General features: G+C 36.7%; 1 protein-coding gene across 1 annotated transcript in view; it reads right to left on the minus strand.

Moving 5' to 3' along the window:
• Positions 1-1,602: 1,602 nt before the first annotated feature.
• DKK2 (dickkopf Wnt signaling pathway inhibitor 2) overlaps positions 1,603-23,897 on the minus strand; it is a 114,512-nt gene continuing 92,217 nt past the window's right edge. The window contains exons 2-4 of the mRNA NM_014421.3: positions 5,600-5,750; positions 4,346-4,501; positions 1,603-4,005 (exon numbers count right to left, since the gene is read on the minus strand). Coding sequence (NP_055236.1) covers positions 3,755-4,005; positions 4,346-4,501; positions 5,600-5,750 — 558 coding nt within the window. The 3' untranslated portion in view covers positions 1,603-3,754. The remainder of the gene's footprint in view (positions 4,006-4,345; positions 4,502-5,599; positions 5,751-23,897) is intronic.

Genomic DNA, 23,897 nt, shown 5'->3' on the forward strand with positions numbered 1-23,897 from the left:
GCTAAAACTCATATCTTCACCATAGACAAATGGTATGCACAATGGGTTAAAAATATCTGGGGAAGGATATGAGGAGGGCTTCTTCTTTCTCAATCTTTAAAGTGAGTTCGATGTGGCATGGAATGATCATCTTTGTCTCACTCCACCCCTCACTCACTCCTTTCATGTAGTACAAATTGTCCAGCTTTGGAAAATTTTGGATGAGATTTTTGAATGAGAAATGCATAGTTCAGCCCACTTTCCACCCACTTCATCTTCGGTGTTAACTGCCAGAAGGAGGCCTGTCATTCTGTTCTGCCCATCCATATTATAAATTTTACAGGGCAGCTCCCATAAGATGGAACTGATATAGTCTGGTGTTGAATGTGAATGGGCACAGAATCTATTTCTGGTGTTTAGTGTTAGAATGTCTTCTTGCTCACAGGTATATGCTACATTTTTCAATATCAGCTTCACCAGCAATAGAGTAATCTTTCATTTGCCCATTTTTTAAAAAAATCTGTTTTTCAACTGGCCTGATTTTGAGTGAAGACAATTATAATTGAACGTTTTTCCCTAAAATCCTAAGGCTACAATTACATTTACAAAAGTGTAACTGAATGTTTTCCCCTAAAATACTAAGGCTACTTAAGGGTATTTTATTTCTTAACTAAAAAAAAAAAAATGTCAGGACAATTTGTCACTTCTCAGAGCATCTCACTGAGCACAATAGAAAAGAAAAAGATCGCCTATATGATTGTTATAGTCAAAAGCACACTTTAACTAGAAAATATAAATATTCTCAATTTGAGGAAATGGCCAATGATTTAAGAATATCCTTAAATGACTAATTAACATATGGTGGAAAGTATTTCAGCAATGCTTAAGGTATTTTTAACTCTAACTTCTAGCTGTGGGACTGTTTTAGCTTCATGAAGCAGCCATAGCTACATTTAATTCATTCACTATGTCACAGAATGTTTATTATCCACATATGCAGCCCATTCTGATGTCTAATAAAACATGGGCTCTTGTAGCATCCCTGCTCATACTTGGTGAACACTATTCCTCAAAACACTCCTGACATCTCTGGTTCAGGAAGCAGAGGAAAGACTTGCTTCCCAGGAAGTGGATTTGATTTCACTCAGTTTCTCTCCAAACACAGAAAAAGGTATCGTGTAGCTCACGTTCATTGGTTCATGTAGAAATGAACCAATACTCTAAGCATAATAGTATTTCCATTTTGGAAAACTTTAGCCTAGAGAGAAGATTATGGGGTATATGTTACCTGTCTTAAAGTATTTTGAAGAATTTGTGAAGAGCATATTCTCGTTCCAAGTTGTTCTGGAAGGCAAAATATGACTAAATGGGTGTAAATCACAAGCTGGAATATTTTGGTTTGGAAAAAAAAAAAAAAACAGAAACAACTTTCTAACAATTACAGCTAAACTGCCAAGAAATAAACTACCTTTTGTAATAGTAAACTGCTCTGAGTTATCTCATGCTGATGTCCTCCAAATGATTCACACCCAGTCCTCAAAATCAGACCAAGTCCAGTTGAACTCTCAGAAAGTATGATTCTATGAAAATTCTTCCCGTAGACAAAAGACAAGGAGCTTTGAATTCAGTTTTTAGAGGAGAAAAATTTAATAGATTTTATCTTATTATACATTTTTCCTAAATTACAAAGTCAATAGCTGCAAATATATTCTGCTACAAAGCTTTCTGTAAGAAATATCTCTATAAGAAAATACATCTCATTAACATTTCCTGTAAATAAATTACTTCAAATAATAATTTTTAAAAGGGTGGACATAAGAAAAATATTGCAGAAACCAAATTGTAAATATAATAATTGTTATATAGGAAATGTTTGATTGAAATGTTCCATTTTCATTTCACCAAGCTTATAGCAACCTGTTTATACAAACTTTGGTTCTTGGATGGACTAGTTTATAATTTTTGTTTTTGCAGACCTGTGCAGAAAATGTAAGTCTTAATCATCTTAGTAAATATATGTGGGAAGTTGAAATTTTTAATAGATATACAGGCTCAAACTCAATCTCTACTGGGAGAACTTAAATTTGAGACTGCAGATGGGATTTAAGTAAAAGAAAACTAAAAAGTGAATTGTGGTCTACAAAAGTTTAAAGTCACGACTATAAGATAACCTTTTATTGTTTTGTGCTCCAGACAAAGTATTTAGAACTGAGTTAAGTTTAAAAAAAGTAGTAAAGTGGTTTCAAAGAATTTAGAAACTGTGGTGTCTATAGATTAGCAATATGCAGGTTTTACAAGTTATCCTACTTATATTTTTTAACCGCAATGGCTGCAGAAAACCGAAACTAGCCCTTTGGCAATAAAGCAGATGCTGCAGAGGTTTGGGAAGAAAATTGGATGATGCCATTGGCTAGTCAGAAGCTTATAGAGGGCAATGAAACCTCACTACTCTGTCTACTTCAGGAGTCCATTTTGTGAAACCTCCTGAAATTGAGATTATTTGAGGATCTCAGCACTATAAAATAAATAATTTGAGGATAGTACGGACACAGGACCTCACACTGAATTCATCTGCATAGTAAATATTATGATAGCAAATCCCATGCAGATATTCATTTAGACTGTGCATCCCCTGGTTTCAAAGATGAACAGCCAACTTGTGCCTCAGACATATGATCTATGTGTTGCCAAAACCTGAACAAACGAAAAAGTTTTCCCAATTTTCTTGCTTACTCCAGTGCAGTACAGATCCAGCTCAAGTCTCTATTACCACAGAGTATGTATGAATACATGTATTTACCAATCTAATTCTATCAAAATACAGGTTATGGCCAATCTTTAAGAAATAATGATCTCTCTGTTAGCTCTTTTCCCACATATATTGGACATCTTTAAATTTTTTTGCCATCTGTGAAAATTCTGCTCTGTGTAAGTATTTTACTAGTCACAATTTATGGGTATAGTTTGGAAAATATAATGCATTCAGAGCAGGAATCACATAGGATAAAGAGAGATATACTGTCATTCCGTAGAATCTGAAGGAACTGTTTTTGTCTTGTATCAGTTCTTATTAATTACAGGTAAAACTAAAATTTTGAAAAAAAAGTATTTGTGGCTGTTTGTTTGTTATTTATTTGTCTTCCTAAAGGCCTTCCTAAACAACTGGCCATTATTTTGCAATTATTTGGAAATATTGACTGATTTTTTTCTTATCTACCAAGACTCTTGATTGAACAGCAGAAGTAGTGTTACAAATCAAAAGGTAATTTTCTGTTGTAAATTAACAATGCTCCATGTTTTCATTTCTTGTTTAGCAATTTTATTTTTAGAACCTATTGTATAACAAGTTATTCTAGGAGTATTTTGTTAAACTCTAACGTTGAATAGAAATCTGGCATGTAGGTTATTTGTATAAGCAATCAGCAATCTGAAGGAAACCTCTCCTCCAGCACAACCTAAACTCTTGGAAAGTCACATGCTACTCATCAGTAATTTCCACTGTGTGCTTGTTCTCTTAATAATAGCATTTTCCACAAATGTGTACATTATTTACATAGACAAGTTGCATAATGGAAACACTGGCTGCACTGCATTTGTCACCCATTCTAATCTATTCAGTTCATGTTTTCTTTCTCCCTTTTTGTGATCATCTATATTCTTATCACGTTTCTTATTTTAGCCATTCTTCTGCATCTGAACCTTATTTTCCACCATGCTATAATGCATTAAATACACAACTTCACAGTCTGCAATTGATGATGTTCCTCAATGGTGATCAAATTTTCTGACACACATGGAGTCTGGCTTTGGAGGAGTAGGTGGCATCTTTCCATACTTTGCAAGACAGGCCCTTCGCACAGTCGCAACGCTGGAAAATTTCCAGCCCATGAGAACCCTTCTTGCGTTGTTTGGTACAGACTTCCCCCTGATGGAGCACTGGTTTGCAGATTTTGGTCCAGAAATGACGAGCACAGCAAAACCCTTCAATGCAGTCTGATGATCGTAGGCAGGGGTCTCCTTCATGCCCTGCAGAGATGATGACCAATAGATGTTACCCTGACACTTCAGAAAAAAAAAATTCTATTTTGCAATCAGAAGCACATAAAATATTTTTACTTATACTATCTTCTATGTTGTTACCATTTATAATGAAAAGTCTTGGTTGATACCAATTGGCTCTGCCTCTTATCACATAAATCTATTATGGTCTGTTTCCATTATTTGCCACCTAAATAACAAGTTTAATGACTAGCTAGGATTAAAGAAACTTCCTTGTAATTTTTTCTAAAACCAATGGAATTAATTATCTATATTTTTCTTCTATTTCTTTATTTTAAAAAAACCCCAGAACTACAGATATCCCTACCTTTTATATGTGACATCTTAGTGTGTGGTCTTCCTAGATTCTGCCATCCCAAGTCATGGTTTGAGTAATGACCGTGGTTTCGATCTCTGTGCCGAGTACCATCCAGAGCCGGGATGTGAGGGGTTAAGATGCTTTCAGTAACTGGGATACAGATGCCTGGAGATGATCATATAATCAGTTAGACTAATTCAATTCTATGAAATGTGATACTTATCCACATACTCTCTTGATGTGAAATATGAAGCCATTTATCTATCTGTGTATCTATCTATCTATCCACCCATCCATTCATTTACTTATTTATTGAGACTGAGCATACTTTGGCCCTAAAGTGAAACTTCTTTAATATGAATTTTGTCTCTCTCAAGACCAAGTGACCTTGGACAAAACTGGGAATAAAAGCATAATTTTATATAGTCACAAAGTTATTGTGAATATATGTGAAGAATCAATGTTAGCTATTACTATTTTTAAAGAATCTGATCAGACATACATCCTCTGGATCCAGATTCCTTTATTAATTAACAACATAATGTTAGTTTACACTGTAAACTTCTCTAATGGTGTGAGGTCTTCTTCCCTTCACCTCCTGTGCAAGAGACTCACAGTAGGTCTACACCCAGAGGTCAGGAATAGGCATGAGAAAATGAGCCTGATTATGTTGTTTTATATGATTAAGTATATATTTCTAATTACCTTCTGCAATTATTTAATGTTTTTGCCACATCTTGTCTGTGATCCATTTCATCATTATTACTGAATTGTCTGCCTATAAATTCATTGATATTGGATGAAGCCAGGTTGGGGAATAAAATGCTGCATCTCCCTTTGGAGGAACCAATCACTCTACTACCATAAGACTGAGCCACAGAACATCTTGACTAAACCCAAAGCACAAAACTGGAATAGATATTTGCAACTGCATTACTAAATCATATCAAGTTTCTTTCTTTGGTTCTTTTACATGCATTCACTTATGTGTTTACTGAAATAGAACATCTTGCTATTTATACACAACACTTCAACATGGCAATATTCTAGATCAGTGTAGGTCATAAAATATAGAAAGTAGCCAGACTCTAGGAAAACTAAGATTTGGGGAGGTAATCCAGGTAATCTTACACTACCTAAACCAGTTCTACCAGGCTTCTTATATTTCAGGAGTCTGAGTAAGGAGACGATAGCCTGACTTGAGAGACAGGCTTATGATGATGAAAAGAAAGAGGCCCATTAACACTTAGTGAGATCTTTTACCATTATTGCAGCGGGTACTGGGGCAGCACATGCCATCTCGGTGGCAGCGCTTCTTTTTTCTCCGACACACCATGCAGGCCGATGATCCTTGGTGGGGACTGTGGCAATACCTCCCAACTTCACACTCCTTATCACTGCTACAAGGGTAGGCCTGTCATCAAGTGGAACAACACCAGAAGTAAAGGATTAGATCGTGTTTCACTTATGAAACATTACTATAGCAAATCATGATAGAAAATGAATCACAATATATCTCACCCGGAAGGAACTATACCATCATCATAATGTTCTGAACCTAGAGCCTAAGTAGTCACACTTAATTGAGGACCTTATAAATATCTATTGCTTGATGACAAAGATAAAGCTGACGCTGTTTGTATATTTTCATTGACACAACGCTAGAGTTAGAATTTAGACTTTTATTGATTCATAGGACCCTTATGTGTGACTTTGGGGTCTCAAGAGCAGTTGTAATTATTGCATTGATGCTATTGTAAGGTAAAAATGACACAGCCATCTTAGCCACTCGATTTTTTCACCTGTTAAAGAACGATGAGAGAAATGTTAAATAAAACAACAAAGGGCTATGCTAGAAGCCAAAATGTATCTCCTGCCCAATTATGAAACAAATATTTTAAAAGTGAACCCTTTCAGTTCCTGCCTATAAAAGCAAGGAGGAGAAACATTTCCAGAACAGTATGAGGCAGTGAATTATTTGGCACAAAGACACTAAGGAACAGGATCCTCATTCCAAACACGGTGATAAGCAGCAGTTGAGCTCCCAGCAGCCAGAGAGATGCTAAGCTCCAATTATATCATTATATTCCCAGGAAGCACAAAAGCAGACTCCTTACAGACCTGAAATAGCCCCACAGGCTACTACGCCTTCTATTGTAAAGAAAGAACCTCTGTTCATACATTTCTCTACCTAGGGGTATGTCCAGAAGGCTACTTCAGCAGTGTCATATATTATCTTAAAAAAAAATACATGTGAAATAATACAGAAGGTGGTCAGAGTTTAGGAAAATGAAGATTTCAGGGGTTATACATACATATATACCCATTTGTGCACCCCTTGCCTCTTGGAAGTATTTGGAACATTAAAAATGTCCCTGTGTTCAAAGACTGGAAGTTGAGAAACTAAAATGTCATAACCCACATCAAACTTACTCAGATTTTGAGGCAGGGAGACTCATTTGTAAACCTTTTTTTCTTTTTTGAAGTTGATATTTTTCTCATTTTCAGAGTAATAGATGATTTTTTAATTGAAAATACAAAATATAAAATAAGCTATGTATTTGTTTTTAAGCAACCATAAATAATTTGAACATAAACTATGGGATAAAATGGTTATGGCTCTCAAATACTTAGTGAGATTTCAGTGCTTTACTTATGAATTAGGTTTGATGGTATAGCTCGGCCTGCATTGCTCATGTCTTTTTTTCCTTTTATTTCTTTTACTCTTTCCCTTTCTTCCAGTGTCTTCTCCTCCTGCCCATCTCCTGCATATATGTCTACACATTGAGCCCTCACATGTTTTCCGTTTAGGTGATCAGATCATCTTCAGTTAGAAAAAGGAAATGTGAAGTTTATGTACGAGTCTGAGAGATAAAAAATGTATTTTAGCATCATTACAATTTCTTGTTTACCCTTTAAAGAATTATATAGAAAAACCACCAACTTCAAATTGAAAGTTATTTTGAAGGACTGCATAGTGGCAATGTTTGATGCATACTTTATAACTGGAGCCACACAAAGCTATAAAATAAATTTGCATTTCATTGTTCCACTCTGTAACTCCACCATTAGGCTTAAGAGAATCTTAGTGAGATGAAATTCAGACTATTAAGCCATTTTTCAAGAATCCAAGACTGATGAAAACAAAACAAATATCCCTTCCCGCCTTACCACACTCTTTCCCCCAAGCATTTTACCCCCTTCACATTTAAACCCATTAATTTTAATGAAATACAATTCACATGTTTCTGATTCATTTACATTTATTTCATCAAATTGTTTTGCAACAAACATTTGAAGTTACAAGTTTCTTTCCTTCCTCAAAAATAGGACATGCTCTTTCAATGGAAATAAACATGTGCCACATAAAACATCATGTGCTATTTACAACTCAAATAACAAGTCCTCAAGCCATTCTGAGTATAGGATAATCCTGGATTCCATCCCCCCAAAATAGTCCACAGGATACACTATTTTATTTATTAGCTGTTATTGATAGCTGTTTATTTTCTGGTTGTTTGGTAAAAGTAGCAGTGTCTGCCAAAAAATTGTGAATGGCGCATCACCATCTTTCCATTCTCAGTTGACAGGAACTGGAAAATATTAAAATGACAAATATCTGATGCAGATGACATTAAAAAAATGGGGTGCACAGTAGCCTTATATTTGAATGGGATTACAATAAAATTATAATAATTTAATTTTGAAAGAGGGAACCTCATTTGATCAAAAATAGAAAGTATATTAGAAAATACATAGTTTTATTATGCTCCAATATCTCTTTTAATTAACTTGAAGTAAAAATGACACAGGCAGAGAAAGTATGCCAAAAAATGCCTAACTATACAAGGTTATGTATATTGGGAACTTGTACTTGGAATGGAATTTCAGAACATAAATACTAGGAGACATTCTTTGGAAATTTTAAAAATAAATTTTTTAATAATTAAAAAGTAAAGTTGTATTACACAGCTTCTAATATGCTTATGTAACTCCTGGATCCAATAAACAGTCTTTATATATGAATACAATCAAGAAGGGATGAAATAAATTGATTAAAGAAGAGTATAGGGAAAGCAAGTGGTATTTGGGGGCATGCCTTGCCCTCTGAAATCCATGTCCCTTAGCCCAGATTTTTTCAACCGTAAAGCTTACCTTGTAATAACTTCTAGCAAGAAAACATAAAACATGAAATAATATGGTTCTAACCCATTAATAACAATTCTCATGTCTTACTAAGCATAATGCATTTTATTTTAGTAAAGAGTTTTAAAGAAGGCATTTTCTACTGAAGTATGAGGGTTCTGCAGTTGCCAGTTGCCATTGGCTTTTTTCCTACATTAGCCCCTCTAAAGTTTCTGGAAATGATATCATTGGTGAAAGGGAGAGAGAGAGGGATAGAGGGTTAACAGTAGTTGTGGATGACCCTGAAGAAGCGATGACTGTGGCAATGAAAGGACTGCTGGAGGGAATTATATACATTAATTAAAGTGCCATTCAGAAACTCTCACATAGATAATCTTTATTTTCCATTTACTTTGACCTCCAAAGGCCATTGTCTAGTCTCATTTGATGATGGCTTTGTGACAAGCAACAAATAAGCTTGAATACCTTAGTCTAAGTTTCCCTTTAACGAAATCAATAATATGCTTACCTGGTACTTATTTTAAAGGTGAATTAAAGGTCTGATTTTTATTTTACTTGCTATGGCAATTGTTAATAGTGCATTCTCATGGCTCTTCATTTACCTGGAACAGACTAGATAACTTTTCCTTTTTGTCTGAGGAACAATGATTGTGTGGAAGACTGGAAATCAAGTGAAAGAATTAGGGAAGGACTCTAGTACACCTATCACATGCTAAACTGCCCCACAATTGAATCATACGCTCAGCTTATGAGCATCCAGGAATACTTAGCTTCATGCAGAATCATTCATTATTGCATCAGTTATAATTAGGAGATGAATTAATTCAGGACACCTAATAATAGCAAACGATTGGCCATAAATTCAGAATACATGAGAACTGTCAGTGATCAGGCCAAAAAAACAAAGACATTTTCTGCAACCCCCTTTCTAGGCTAAAAATAGAGTGAATTTCCACAAATAGCAGTGTTACTTATTATTACAACCATGACATGAACTAAAAGAAGAAAAACACATTGGACACATTTTGAAAATAAAATCTATCAGAAATTGGTATTTCGTTTTAGCATAAAATATTTTTTAAAGTCTGTTTCCTCTGTGCTAATTTAGAATCATTACCTAAAATTTTAGCAGTAAAGTAAAGAGAGTTTAAGTAACTGCTAGAAATAAGTAATGTGTGCTCAGTGGCAGGGAAATTAGAGACCTTGAGTTCTTCCCTGGCGTTCAGGCCTCAGATATCATTACTAAGAGCAATTAATAGTGAGAGTTTAAAGGATACATCGACAAGGTGACTGAGTGGTGACCTATGTGCTGAAGTTAGAGGTTAGAAAAATATACTTGGCCACATCTCTTTCTAGAAGCCTCCGAATACCAACAGCATGTCCTACTGCAGCTGTTGGAAAAAGAGAATACTGGCAGAAAACACTGACAAAGCTGTGAACAGTATTTTCTCATTCTATTTCTTGAGCACAGTTTTCTGTTCATTTAAACTCAATGTAAATCAGAGTTGTAATCAAAAGTCCATAATGAAAATAATGATAATTAAATAATATTCTAATGAACAAAAGTAAAATAAAATGTAGTCACTCAATCTTCTTTGAAATAATTGAGTCTGTCTTCCCCCAAAGTCTTCTCAAAACTGCAGGAAGAAAAGGCCCAATAACTTGAGACTTACATTTAGGGTTGAATTAATTTTCACTTGCCTATCCCTTTGAACATGAAAATACAACAATGAAGTAATCAGATCCCTAAGAACAATGAAAGGAGAAAAAGTGTTTTGGGTATCTCAGTAGCAAAATCATTGAATAAACCTTTGACTACAATTAAAACCTTAGTTTAACTCCTAAGTTTTCAAAATAATAATATTGTCCTTATTTAATGATGAGAGGAAGAAAAGAAGAGAGAAACATCACAGTGTTCATGTGGGATGGCCACCCATCTGGATTCTTGCAAGACCGTCCTCGTTTTTTTGTTGTTTTAATCGGGACAATCCTTTGTCCCTACAAGCACTGTTTGTAACAATCTCGGAAGCTTTCTGGAGCCAGAAAAACATCATCAGCTAGGCAGGCAGAAGAAAGCCTGCAGGGGACGACCCAGCTGTGGGAATGAAAAACATTTGAGGCTAGTGGATAGATGGAGGTAGCAGCAAAGAACTGGGGATGAGAATATATCTGGGGTCTCTGAGAGCACAGCAGAAGATTGGCAATTACATTTGGGAAACCTGATCGGACTGGCTTGCCCTGAGTCCTTAGAGAAAAGATTAATTTTCCTCATCATGATATTCTACATGATAGATCTATATTTCCACAAACAGTCAAGGTACACTACCCTTCAGGTGGTCACTTCAAAATCAAACACTAAAATGCAACTGCAGGAGGTGCAGGGACTTATATGTCAATCTGCCTGTGTGCTGTTGTATACTATCTGCCAAAGGCTGTGCAATCTCATCTTTCACTTTGTCTCCTATTACCTCTAGGGGATAAGGGTGTACTGGATGCATCTTTGAGGATTCATGAACATCAGGCCAGGGGGATTGAGCTATATTAAATTTAAGGGGAAAAGTTCAGATATTACATGATGTCCTGCATGTGTAGTTACAGGTTCATTAAGGCAGCTGCTTGGGTATTTATTCAGTATTCAATCAATATTTATTTAGTATTTATTTATTGAACACCAACTATGATCCAGAAACTACTAGGTCAGTGACAATACAGTCAAATGTATTGTCTGTTACCCCCAAAATAATTTTGAAAAAAACATATATCCTTCAATACATTTGACACTTAAAATTTTTTGGTGTGTGTGTTTTTGTATTAGTATGAAATATAATGTTAAACATTTTCTAAGATAAAATTTGCAGTAATTTGATATGAATAAAATAACTTGACTATTAATTAAACATTTTCTAAGATAAAATTTGCAGTAATTTGACATGATTAATAAAATGACTTCTGACTATTATATTAATCAAAGCATACTGATCCTGAAATTAATCACAACATATTTACTCATGGGCATTTTCTCTTGAAAAATTACATAATCTGAGAAACCTTCAGTTAGATTATAAAATATACAAGTCATCGCAACTATTTTGAACATTCTGCCTACAGAATTTCCAGCTGGGGCCAAGTTTCACTTTTAAAAAATTAAGTATAAGACAAAGAAAGAAAGTACCTTTGTGAGTTTAAGATGCCCTGATCAATCATTAAACATATCTTTGTTCCAATCAAAATTCCAAATTTTACTTATTTGTCACCTAAAAAAGTTTTTGTACCTTTGGCTAATGCAGTCTATTGAGATTTGGAATGCATGAAGGTTTTGCCTTTTTTTGCCACATAAAATGGCAAAAAATTAATGTAAACCCAGGCATATTCCTTGAGAATTTTAAGAAAAAAATTGGAAGTTGAGGATCTGGACATTGATTTTATTAGAACAACTCGTGATCTGCACCCCATGGAAAATATTTCAGTACCTTTTACACATGTTCATTTTAAGGCTAGGGTAGTTAGAAAATTGGTTTTTGATACGAAAGATCAGAGATGAAAGAGTATCTCCTAAAACTATCTGAATTACAAATTAGGAATGGATTTTTTCTAGTGGTCCATTAGCCTCTCCAATGTATTCAGAAAGCGTCATTTAAATCCAAAGAAACAGTAACTCTATCAAATGAAGGCAAGTCCTCTTTAACTTTGGTTGCTCCTCCCTGTTCTCTGCATGTCATTAAACCAAAAGGAAATTCTAGGGAATGCTCTACTTGGAACATAGACCACATTCTCAACTGTAGCATGTACAATACTGATATTGATCATGGGATGAATGGAGAGAGCTAAACTTTTCCATATGGTCTCAGCTCCTAGAGATATCTAAACTACGAGGTTTACCTGGCTCTTGATTGTTTTTGTTTGTTTTAGACCCATCCCCACTCATTTAAAATGGATAGGACAGAACACTTCCACTCCATGCTCAAAAAGCAGCATCTCAGGTTTTACAGCAGTGGTTGGGAGTAATATATAATTATAAAGTACTCTATAATTTGTAATTGGATAAGTATAATTGTCCTAACCAAAAGAGAGGAAGAAACTGCACAATCTTAAGGTCTCTTCCAAATCTGGGATTTATAGTAAAACATTTTCATTGTTGCCTTATAAATTTTCCTGATGTCATGACCTAATTTTACTTCAGAGAAGTAACATGGTAGGGCAAAATTTGGAGTTATACTGCAATTCAATTTATGCTTCCTTAAATCAAACAAAATTGATTGGTTGAGTGACCGTTAGCTAAATTACTGAATCTTAGTTTCTTCTATGATAAAATGGATAAAATTTCTGAATTCAGCAGTGTTTCCCTGCTTACTTAATCATAAAAATTCCATGGGGTTTCTTTACAAATTACTGCTTCACAGACTCTTCTAATAGAGATTCTATTTCTAGAAGACTGGATGGGGTCCAGGAATCTGTACTTTTAACAAATACTGTCCTGGTGATGATACAATAAGGTAAGATAGGGAAACACGGCTATATAGAACTGTTGCAAGATTACTGATGCCTCCTGCATATATATCATACTGACAATGCCTGGTCTGTATAAAATGCAACTCAGTATTACCTCCAGATAGACATGGGTCTAAGTGAAGGATTAGTTCCCTGAAAACAACGTGAGTCTAAATGAGAGGCTCACTGACAATAACAACAATTTCCAGGAAGGTTCATCTTCACTCCTAGTGCTTAGCCACTGTGCTTGGTGGTGGTGGTGTTGAGAATTTCTACAACTGTATGAAAAAGTAAAATAACACATAACACACACACCAGTGCACTTTGGGAGGAACGCTGTGTGGACTCAGAGCTGTCAACACACCCATTATGGCTGGATTGTTTCATATCCTCAAGTGGTATACACCTATGTCTTGCTGGCAATGCGCAAACTTTGCATTTTCTTTATATTTTGTATCCAGTGGGCCCTTACAAAACACTCTTCTTCCCCATATCAAGTATGATAAATAGATGATGTCTGCTTTTATTATATGCTCTTCTTTGTATAGCATCACCTTTCTCTTTTCCAATGAAAATGACATTTAAAATTCAAAAGTTTATATTCAGGTAGATATGAAAACATACTTTCAAATTGTTGTTTAGAAAATACTTTTTTATGATTATAGAACAGGTTATGGTTGGTGAATATTTCTGCACCCAAAATGTAAACACTTGTGAGTTTTAAATGTTATACAAGTTTAAGTAATTTTTAACATATGGGTTCAGAAATGAGGACGTAAGTTTCCTGTAAATGTGTGTGTGTGTGTGTGTGTGTGTGTATGTGTATATATGTATGTATATATACATATATACACACACTATATATATATACATCTGCATACACACAGATACACACACACACACACACACACACACACATATGTATGTATAAAATTAGCTCAAGTTATCTCAGGAAATATGCCCAGAAATTGTGTAACAGGAAGGTAGACAGGATTATTGAGACCAGACAAGATCAAGAACAGAGGAAAGGAAAAAACTTCGTTTACATTAAACTCTTTTAAACATTTTGTAATCTGCACTAGATGCAAGTATTACCTATTAAAATTAATGCAATTTAAAGAGGAGCTAATACTACAATACTAAAGTGAAATGTCTTCTTGCTAGTTTATGCTTTATGGTTTCATACTAAGAGAGCTGGAAAAATTTTATTTTCCTAGAGGCAGAGCTTTTTAGAAGAGGTATCAAGCACCTCGACTGAAGTTTCTTTATTAAAAATTGTGTTTTGTTTCAGAAATATCATCTTAATAGCAGAATTAGACTACCAATGTAACATTCAAATACATACACAAACACACACACATATAATATACATACACATACACAATGCATTGTTTTTAACAATTATTTAATTGAGCTAATGTTTATTGCCTTGGTTAATTTCATTTAATATAGGAATTTCCAAACATAACACTTCTCTAATCTTGTTGAATTCTCTTTCATTTCCTCTAGGAATTAAGCCAGATCAATAGTCAAATTCTACTCTGCTTTTGAAGAAACAGCTGAAGGAAGCAGATAAAATTTGAAAGACTGTTCTTTCATGGTTGGGAAGATAGAAAAAAGCAAAGCAAAATATAATCCTCGATATTCATTCTATGGTGAAATGACTTCTAATTTCCATTTTAAAAGAGATACTTTAAGGGCTACAAAATTTTTGCTTAAAAATTATAAAATGTTCCCATTTTAATGTAGAACCTATACACAAGAAGGCAGGAAGCATTTTATCCCTCAGGTGTGCTGGTGCAGAGAGACAATGACTTGAGAAAAAGCTGGCCCCAAATGATTACCTACAGAGTTTGAGCAAGAGGATTGCTCAACAGTGATCACCACAAAGTTTAAATAGACTAATAAACCTTTTGGTTAAAAAAGCATGACAAGGGGAGGAGCCAAGATGGCCGAATAGGAACAGCTCCGGTCTACAGCTCCCAGCATGAGTGAGGCAGAAGACGGTGATTTCTGCATTTCCATCTGAGGTACCGGGTTCATCTCACTAGGGAGTGCCAGACAGTGGGCACAGGTCAGTGGGTGCGCGCACCGTGTGCGAGCCAAAGCAGGGCGAGGCATTGCCTCACTTGGGAAGCGCAAGGGGTCAGGGAGTTCCCTTTCCGAGTCAAAGAAAGGGGTGACGGATGGCACCTGGAAAATCGGGTCACTCCCACCCGAATACTGCGCTTTTCCAATGGGCTTAAAAAACGGCACACCATGAGATTATATCCCACACCTGGCTCGGAGGGTCCTACACCCACAGAGTCTCACTGATTGCTAGCACAGCAGTCTGAGATCAAACTGCAAGGCGGCAGCGAGGCTGGGTGAGGGGCGCCTGCCATTGCCCAGGCTTGCTTAGATAACCAAAGCAGCCTGGAAGCTCCAACTGGGTGGAGCCCACCACAGCTCAAGGAGGCCTGCCTGCTTCTGTAGGCTCCACCTCTGTGGGCAGGGCACAGACAAACAAAGAGACAGCAGTAACCTCTGCAGACTTAAATGTCCCTGTCTGACAGCTTTGAAGAGAGCAGTGGTTCTCCCAGCACGCAGCTGGAGATCTGAGAATGGGCAGACTGCCTCCTCAAGTGGGTCTCTGAACCCTGACCCCCGAGCAGCCTAACTGGGAGGCACACCCCAGCAGGGTCACACTGACACCTCACACGGCAGGGTATTCCAACAGACCTGCAGCTGAGGGTCCTGTCCGTTAGAAGGAAAACTAACAAACAGAAAGGACATCCACACCAAAAACCCATCTGTACATCACCATCATCAAAGACCAAAAGTAGATAAAACCACAAAGATGGGGAAAAAACAGAACAGAAAAACTGGAAACTCTAAATAGCAGAGCACCTCTCCTCCTCCAAAGGAACACAGTTCCTCACCAGCAATGGAACAAAGCTGGATGGAGAATGACTTTGACGAGCTGAGAGAAGAAGGCTTCAGACGATCAAATTACTTTGAGCTACGGGAGGACATTCAAACCAAAGGCAAAGAAGTTGAAAACTTTGAAAAAAATTTAGAAGAATGTATAACTAGAATAACCAATACAGAGAAGTGCTTAAAGGAGCTGATGGAGCTGAAAACCAAGGCTCAAGAACTACGTGAAGAATGCAGAAGCCTCAGGAGCCGATGCGATCAACTGGAAGAAAAGGTATCAGCGATGGAAGATGAAATGAATGAAATGAAGCAAGAAGGGAAGTTTAGAGAAAAAAGAATAAAAAGAAATGAGCAAAGCCTCCAAGAAATATGGGACTATGTGAAAAGACCAAATCTACATCTCACTGGTGTACCTGAAAGGGATGGGGAGAATGGAACCAAGTTGGAAAACACTCTGCAGGATATTATCCAGGAGAACTTCCCCAATCTAGCAAGGCAGGCCAACATTCAGATTCAGGAAATACAGAGAATGCCACAAGGATACTCCTCGAGAAGAGCAACTCCAAGACACATAATTGTCGGATTCACCAAGGTTGAAATGAACGAAAAAATGTTAAGGGCAGCCAGAGAGAAAGGTCGGGTTACCCACAAAGGGAAGCCCATCAGACTAACAGCGGATCTCTCAGCAGAAACCCTACAAGCCAGAAGAGAGTGGGGGCCAATATTCAACATTCTTAAAGAAAAGAATTTTCAACCCAGAATTTCATATCCAGCCAAACTAAGCTTCATAAGTGAAGGAGAAATAAAATACTTTACAGACAAGCAAATGCTGAGAGATTTTGTCACCACCAGGCCTGCCCTAAAAGAGCTCCTGAAGGAAGCGCTAAACATGGAAAGGAACAACAGGTACCAGCCGCTGCAAAATCATGCCAAAATGTAAAGACCATCAAGACTAGGAAGAAACTGCATCAACTAATGAGCAAAATAACCAGCTAACATCATAATGACCGGATCAAATTCACACATAACAATATTAACTTTAAATGTAAATGGACTAAATGCTCCAATTAAAAGACACAGACTGGCAAATTGGATAAAGAGTCAAAACCCATCAGTGTGCTGTATTCAGGAAACCCATCTCACGTGCAGAGACACACATAGGCTCAAAATAAAAGGATGGAGGAAGATCTACCAAGCAAATGGAAAACAAAAAAAGGCAGGGGTTGCAATCCTAGTCTCTGATAAAACAGACTTTAAACCAACAAAGATCAAAAGAGACAAAGAAGGCCATTACATAATGGTAAAGGGATCAATTCAACAAGAAGAGCTAACTATCCTAAATATATATGCACCCAATACAGGAGCACCAAGATTCATAAAGCAAGTCCTGAGTGACCTACAAAGAGACTTAGACTCCCACACATTAATAATGGGAGACTTTAACACCCCACTGTCAACATTAGACAGATCAACGAGACAGAAAGTCAACAAGGATACCCAAGAATTGAACTCAGCTCTTCACCAAGCGGACCTAATAGACATCTACAGAACTCTCCACCCCAAATCAACAGAATATACATTTTTTTCAGCACCACACCACACCTATTCCAAAATTGACCACATACTTGGAAGTAAAGCTCTCCTCAGCAAATGTAAAAGAACAGAAATTATAACAAACTATCTCTCAGACCACAGTGCAATCAAACTAGAACTCAGGATTAAGAATCTCACTCAAAACCGGTCAACTACATGGAAACTGAACAACCTGCTCCTGAATGAACTACTGGGTACATAATGAAATGAAGGCAGAAATAAAGATGTTCTTTGAAACCAACGAGAACAAACACACAACATACCAGAATCTCTGGGACGCATTCAAAGCAGTGTGTAGAGGGAAATTTATAGCACTAAATGCCCACAAGAGAAAGCAGGAAAGATCCAAAATTGACACCCTAACATCACAATTAAAAGAACTAGAAAAGCAAGAGCAAACACATTCAAAAGCTAGCAGAAGGCAAGAAATAACTAAAATCAGAGCAGAACTGAAGGAAATAGAGACACAAAAAACCCTTCAAAAAATTAATGAATCCAGGAGCTGGTTTTTTGAAAGGATCAACAAAATTGATAGACCGCTAGCAAGACTAATAAAGAAAAAAAGAGAGAAGAATCAAATAGATGCAATAAAAAATGATAAAGGGGATATCACCACCGATCCAACAGAAATCCAAACTACCATCAGAGAATACTACAAACACCTCTGCGCAAATAAACTAGAAAATCTAGAAGAAATGGATAAATTCCTCGACACCTACACTCTCCCAAGACTAAACCAGGAAGAAGTTGAATCTCTGAATAGACCAATAACAGGATCTGAAATTGTGGCAATAATCAATAGCTTACCAACTAAAAAGAGTCCAGGACCAGATGGATTCACAGCCGAATTCTACCAGAGGTAAAAGGAGGAAATTCCTTCTGAAACTATTCCAATCAATAGAAAAAGAGGGAATCCTCCCTAACTCTTTTTATGAGGCCAGCATCATTCTGATACCAAAGCCAGGCAGAGACACAACAAAAAAATAGAATTTTAGACCAATATCCTTGATGAACATTGATGCAAAAATCCTCAACAAAATACTGGCAAAACGAATCCAGCAGCACATCAAAAAGCTTATTCACCATGATCAAGTGGGCTTCATCCCTGGGATGCAAGGCTGGTTCAATATACGCAAATCAATAAATGTAATCCAGCATATAAACAGAGCCAAAGACAAAAACCACATGATTATCTCAATAGATGCAGAAAAAGCCTTTGACAAAATTCAACAACCCTTCATGCTAAAAACTCTCAATAAATTAGGTATTGATGGGATGTATTTCAAAATAATAAGAGCTATCTATGACAAACCCACAGCCAATATCATACTGAATGGGCAAAAACTGGAAGCATTCCCATTGAAAACTGGCACAAGACAGGGATGCCCTCTCTCACCACTCCTATTCAACATAGTGTTGGACGTTTTGGCCAGGGCAATTAGGCAGGAGAAGGAAATAAAGGGCATTCAATTAGGAAAAGAGGAAGTCAAATTGTCCCTGTTTGCAGATGACATGACTGTATATCTAGAAAACCCCATTATCTCAGCCCAAAATCTCCTTAAGCTGATAAGCAACTTCAGCAAAGTCTCGGGATACAAAATCAATGTACAAAAATCACAAGCATTCTTATACACCAATAACAGACAGAGAGCCAAATCATGAGTGAACTCCCATTCACAATTGCTTCAAAGAGAATAAAATACCTAGGAATCCAACTTACAAGGGATGTGAAGGAACTCGTCAAGGAGAACTACAAATCACTGCTCAAGGAAATAAAAGAGGTTACAAACAAATGGAAGAACATTCCATGCTCATGGGTAGGAAGAATCAATATCATGAAAATGGCCATACGGCCCAAGGTAATTTACAGATTCAATGCCATCCCCATCAAGCTACCAATGACTTTCTTCACAGAATTGGAAAAAACTACTTTCAAGTTCGTATGGAACCAAAAAAGAGCCCGCATCGCCAAGTCAATCCTAAGCCAAAAGAACAAAGCTGGAGGCATCACACTACCTGACTTCAAACTATACTACAAGGCTACAGTAACCAAAACAGCATGGTACTGATACCAAAACAGAGATATAGATCAATGGAACAGAACAGAGCCCTCAGAAATAATGCTGCATATCTACAACTATCTGATCTTTGACAAACCTGAGAAAAATAAGCAATGGGGAAAGGATTTCCTATTTAATAAATGGTGCTGGGAAAACTGGCTAGCCATATGTAGAAAGCTGAAACTGGATCCCTTCCTTATACCTTATACAAAAATCAATTCAAGATGGATTACAGACTTAAACGTTAGACCTAAAACCATAAAAACCCTAGAAGAAAACCTAGGCAATACCATTCAGGACATAGGCATGGGCAAGGACTTCATGTCTAAAACACCAAAAGCAATGGCAACAAAAGCCAAAATTGACAAATGGGATCCAATTAAACTCAAGAGCTTCTGCACAGCAAAAGAAACTACCATCAGAGTGAACAGGCAACCTGCAAAATGGGAGAAAATTTTCGCAACCTACTCATCTGACAAAGGGCTAATATCCAGAATCTACAATGAACTCAAACAAATTTACAAGAAAAAACAAATAACCCCATCAAAAAGTGGGCAAAGGACATGAACAGACACGTCTCAAAAGAAGACATTTATGCAGCCAAAAAACACATGAAAAAATGCTCATCATCACTGGCCGTCAGAGAAATGCAAATCAAAACCACAATGAGATACCATCTCACACCAGTTAGAATGGCAATCATTAAAAAGTCAGGAAACAACAGGTGCTGGAGAGGATGTGGAGAAATAGGAACACTTTTACACTGTTAGTGGGACCGTAAACTAGTTCAACCATTGTGGAAGTCAGTGTGGCGATTCCTCAGGGATCTAGAACTGGAAATACCATTTGACCCAGCCATCCCATTACTGGGTATATACCCAAAGGACTATAAATCATGCTGCTATAAAGACACATGCACACGTATGTTTATTGCAGCATTATTCACAATAGCAAAGACTTGGAACCAACCTAAATGTCCAACAATGATAGACTGGATTAAGAAAATGTGGCACATATACACCACGGAATACTATGCAGCCATAAAAAAGGATGGGTTCATGTCCTTTGTAAGGACATGGATGAAATTGGAAATCATCATTGTCAGTAAACTATCGCAAGAACAAAAACCAAACACCGCATATTCTCACTCATAGGTGGGAATTGAACAATGAGATCACATGGACACAGGAAGGGGAATATCACACTCTGGGGACTGTTGTGTGGTGGGGTGAGGGGGGAGGGATAGCATTGGGAGATACACCTAATGCTAGATGACGAGTTAGTGGGGGCAGCGCACCAGCATGGCACATGTATACATATGTAACTAACCTGCACAATGTGCACATGTACCCTACAACTTAAAGTATAATAAAAAATAAAATAACAAAATAAAAATAAAATAAAAAAAAGCATGACAAGGAGGTGATTCACGGCTCCACCACAGAACTCTACCTAACTGATCCTTTTCTCCCTTTGCCATTTGAAGAAAATAAACAGTAAGTCTGTTTATTTTTCTGGAATAAGTTCTGGATTAAGATCATCATGTCTCCCTGAGATATAGAAGGACTTAGATGCAAGTTATATTTGCAACAGGATAAGGGACTTTAACTCCTGAGCTTTGAACAAGATTGCTTGTCCATTAGTAAGAGAAAGAAATGGAAGTTATCTCATATAATCAGTTCTTTTACTATCTGTATGCCTTCCCATTTTCCAGCCTGATTCCTTCTCTAGGTATCTCAGGCCTATATTTACATAACCTGTAAAATAGGTAAGGATATGTGTTCCATGCCTGAGCTACATTCTCATTTCTTTGGACTGTTCAGTTGTCAAGGCAGATCTCACACAGCAGTTTATGCAGTGAAGCACCCCAAGTACACTATATTGTCCTTCTAATCGTCACTGGGTTCCAAAACTCAGGACAAACTATGTTTGAGAGAGTTTGGGCAGCGTCAGAGTTTCAGCATAATGATAGGGTTAAGCATCCTGCTAGAAGTGTTGCTTATTTTTCTGACAGATAGAATTTTACAACAGCCAAAGCTACTCATTTATTTCAGACATTTTCCAGATGATTTAGTTAAAAAGCCCCAGCATGGAGGGAATTTTTCTTTTAAGTTTCTGATAATAGCAATAATATGACCACATGTTATTTATTAAAATACTTTTCTAAAAAATAATCAATATCTCAGTACATACATGGACTTGCCTCTCAGCCTCCTACCAGCATAAATTAATTTAAATTTTTATTATGTGGAAGAAGGAAAGGTCAGCTCACAAGGGCAAAAGAGATTTATGTCTAGTGAACAACATGGTACAGAGAAAGACTCTATCAAAATGTTCTGTTTGAATGCTTTGCTAGAGGATTTGAAAGGGAGGAAATTATAAGCCAGATGATAGATGCTTTGGTTTGTGTGACCCTAGTGTTCAAATCTCAGCCTCAGAAATGTGGTACATCTTGTGATGACATACACAACGTGTTAGTAATCCCCAAAAGAACATACTGAAGATGTTGGTCCCCCACACCACCCACATCCCAGTACATCTGCTTTGGTGTGGTGACCAGTACATTCTCAATAGTGCAAGAAAGGAAAGATTTGTTACCAGATAAAAAAATGAAATCCTGTCTCCAGATTTAAGTCACTTTCCCTCCATCCCACTGGTTCTTCTAGTCTATTTAAAGAGTATACTCCTCTGTATTGCTGCTACTTCTTTTGTTGGCCCTTATTCATTACTCAGGATCCCCAGATATACTAGACTCTTTTTAAGAGTCTCTATGTCTGGCCTCCCATTCCAGTAGCCTTTGTAGCAGATATGGGGCTTCAAAAAGTGAGCTGGGGAGGGAGAGTGAAAAAGAAAGGAAAACTCAGATAAGAAATTCCCCTCAGGGATTGAGATACATAACACATAATTTGAGTGCTGTTTTGGGTAATAAGAAGTCTAGGCAAACAAAACAAATTAAATTTATTAACCAACTGGCTAATAGAGCTTTTATACAACTTTGCTAGGGTCAGTCTGTAATCTTATTCTTGTTTCAAATTTTTTTTTCCCTCACATTGAACAGTGAAGTGTATCTGGAACTATGTTTAGTACGCTATATAAAATCTTGCCTGGTGTTTGTTTTAACCAAAGAAGGAATCTACATTACAAATAAGACTACCCAGAAACATGTCTATTCTTAATATGCTGTATAAACCCTGTGTTCCCTGCCTACTTCTCCAGGTCTTGTATTATACACTCCAGCTGTACGGTACTACTTGCACATCCCCTAGTCAGCCATACTCCTTCAGGACTCATTGCATTTGCAAAGTTTCCCTCTGCCAAGAACACCCTTCCTCCATTTACTTCATCATGAGAACAACTCCAACTCATCATTTGGAGATTATATCAACTGACTTCACTTTTAAGCAACCTTCCAAGCTGGCTGACCACCCCAGATAAGCTTGATGTTCCATTTAACCTGCATGTTGCTGACACCACATGCTTCTTTGCACCATGATGTAGATTATGCTCTGTTGAATTCTTCGTCTGCCCTACCTATACTCTTTGAGTAAGGAAATCATCTTTCATTTCTGTATCTTCAGTGGCCACATTATACCTGGAATAATTTACCATTCCACAATTTATCCACTAATGAATTAATGCATGAAATTTGTTGCAACAGTGGTTGGAAGTTTGTAGCATTAAATTGACAAAAATACTCAATTAAGAACCCATCAGGAAATGGTAAAAAGGAAAATATTGAAAATTAAAGAGTTGACTTTGTGGATATTTTTAAATTGATTTTTAAAATTGAAGTCCTACAAAAGCTATTTATAACCTATACAGTATAGAGGGAAGAGTATTATATGTATTTGAGAAGAAAGAACATTGGCTAGTGAGTACTTTTGCAGTCAGCAACTTGGCTGCAAGTATTTTATGTTGAACCATCAGTCCACATTTTCAAGTACTATCATCAGTTCTGCATTACATTTCTACAGATGATCATGTTTTTCATCTGTAAATTGTATGTGATGAAAATTAGGCTCTTTCATTTCTAAGTGGCATACATTATTTCTGCCCCAGCAATAATGATTCCCCAATAGCTATTCAGAGCAGTAACTATTTTACCCCTTTTCTAATCATCTGGAAATTCTTCAAGCCTATGGCATGTGGGAGCTATGACAATAGGTGTTTCTGAGGATCAGATGGCACTGGTGACACTTCCATCCTAAACAATTATTTCTAAGTTGTCTTTGCCCTTGTCACTAAATATATTTCTTGTTGGTGGATCATATCTGATAGTATTCCTAGTTAAGCACCATCGCTATGAGGTGTTATTGCAAAGGATCAAGAATATATTTCATGACAGCTTCCTTTAAACA

The sequence above is a fragment of the Homo sapiens genome, chromosome 4, assembly GCF_000001405.40.
Source record: "Homo sapiens chromosome 4, GRCh38.p14 Primary Assembly".
Taxonomy (NCBI): Eukaryota; Metazoa; Chordata; class Mammalia; order Primates; family Hominidae; genus Homo; species Homo sapiens.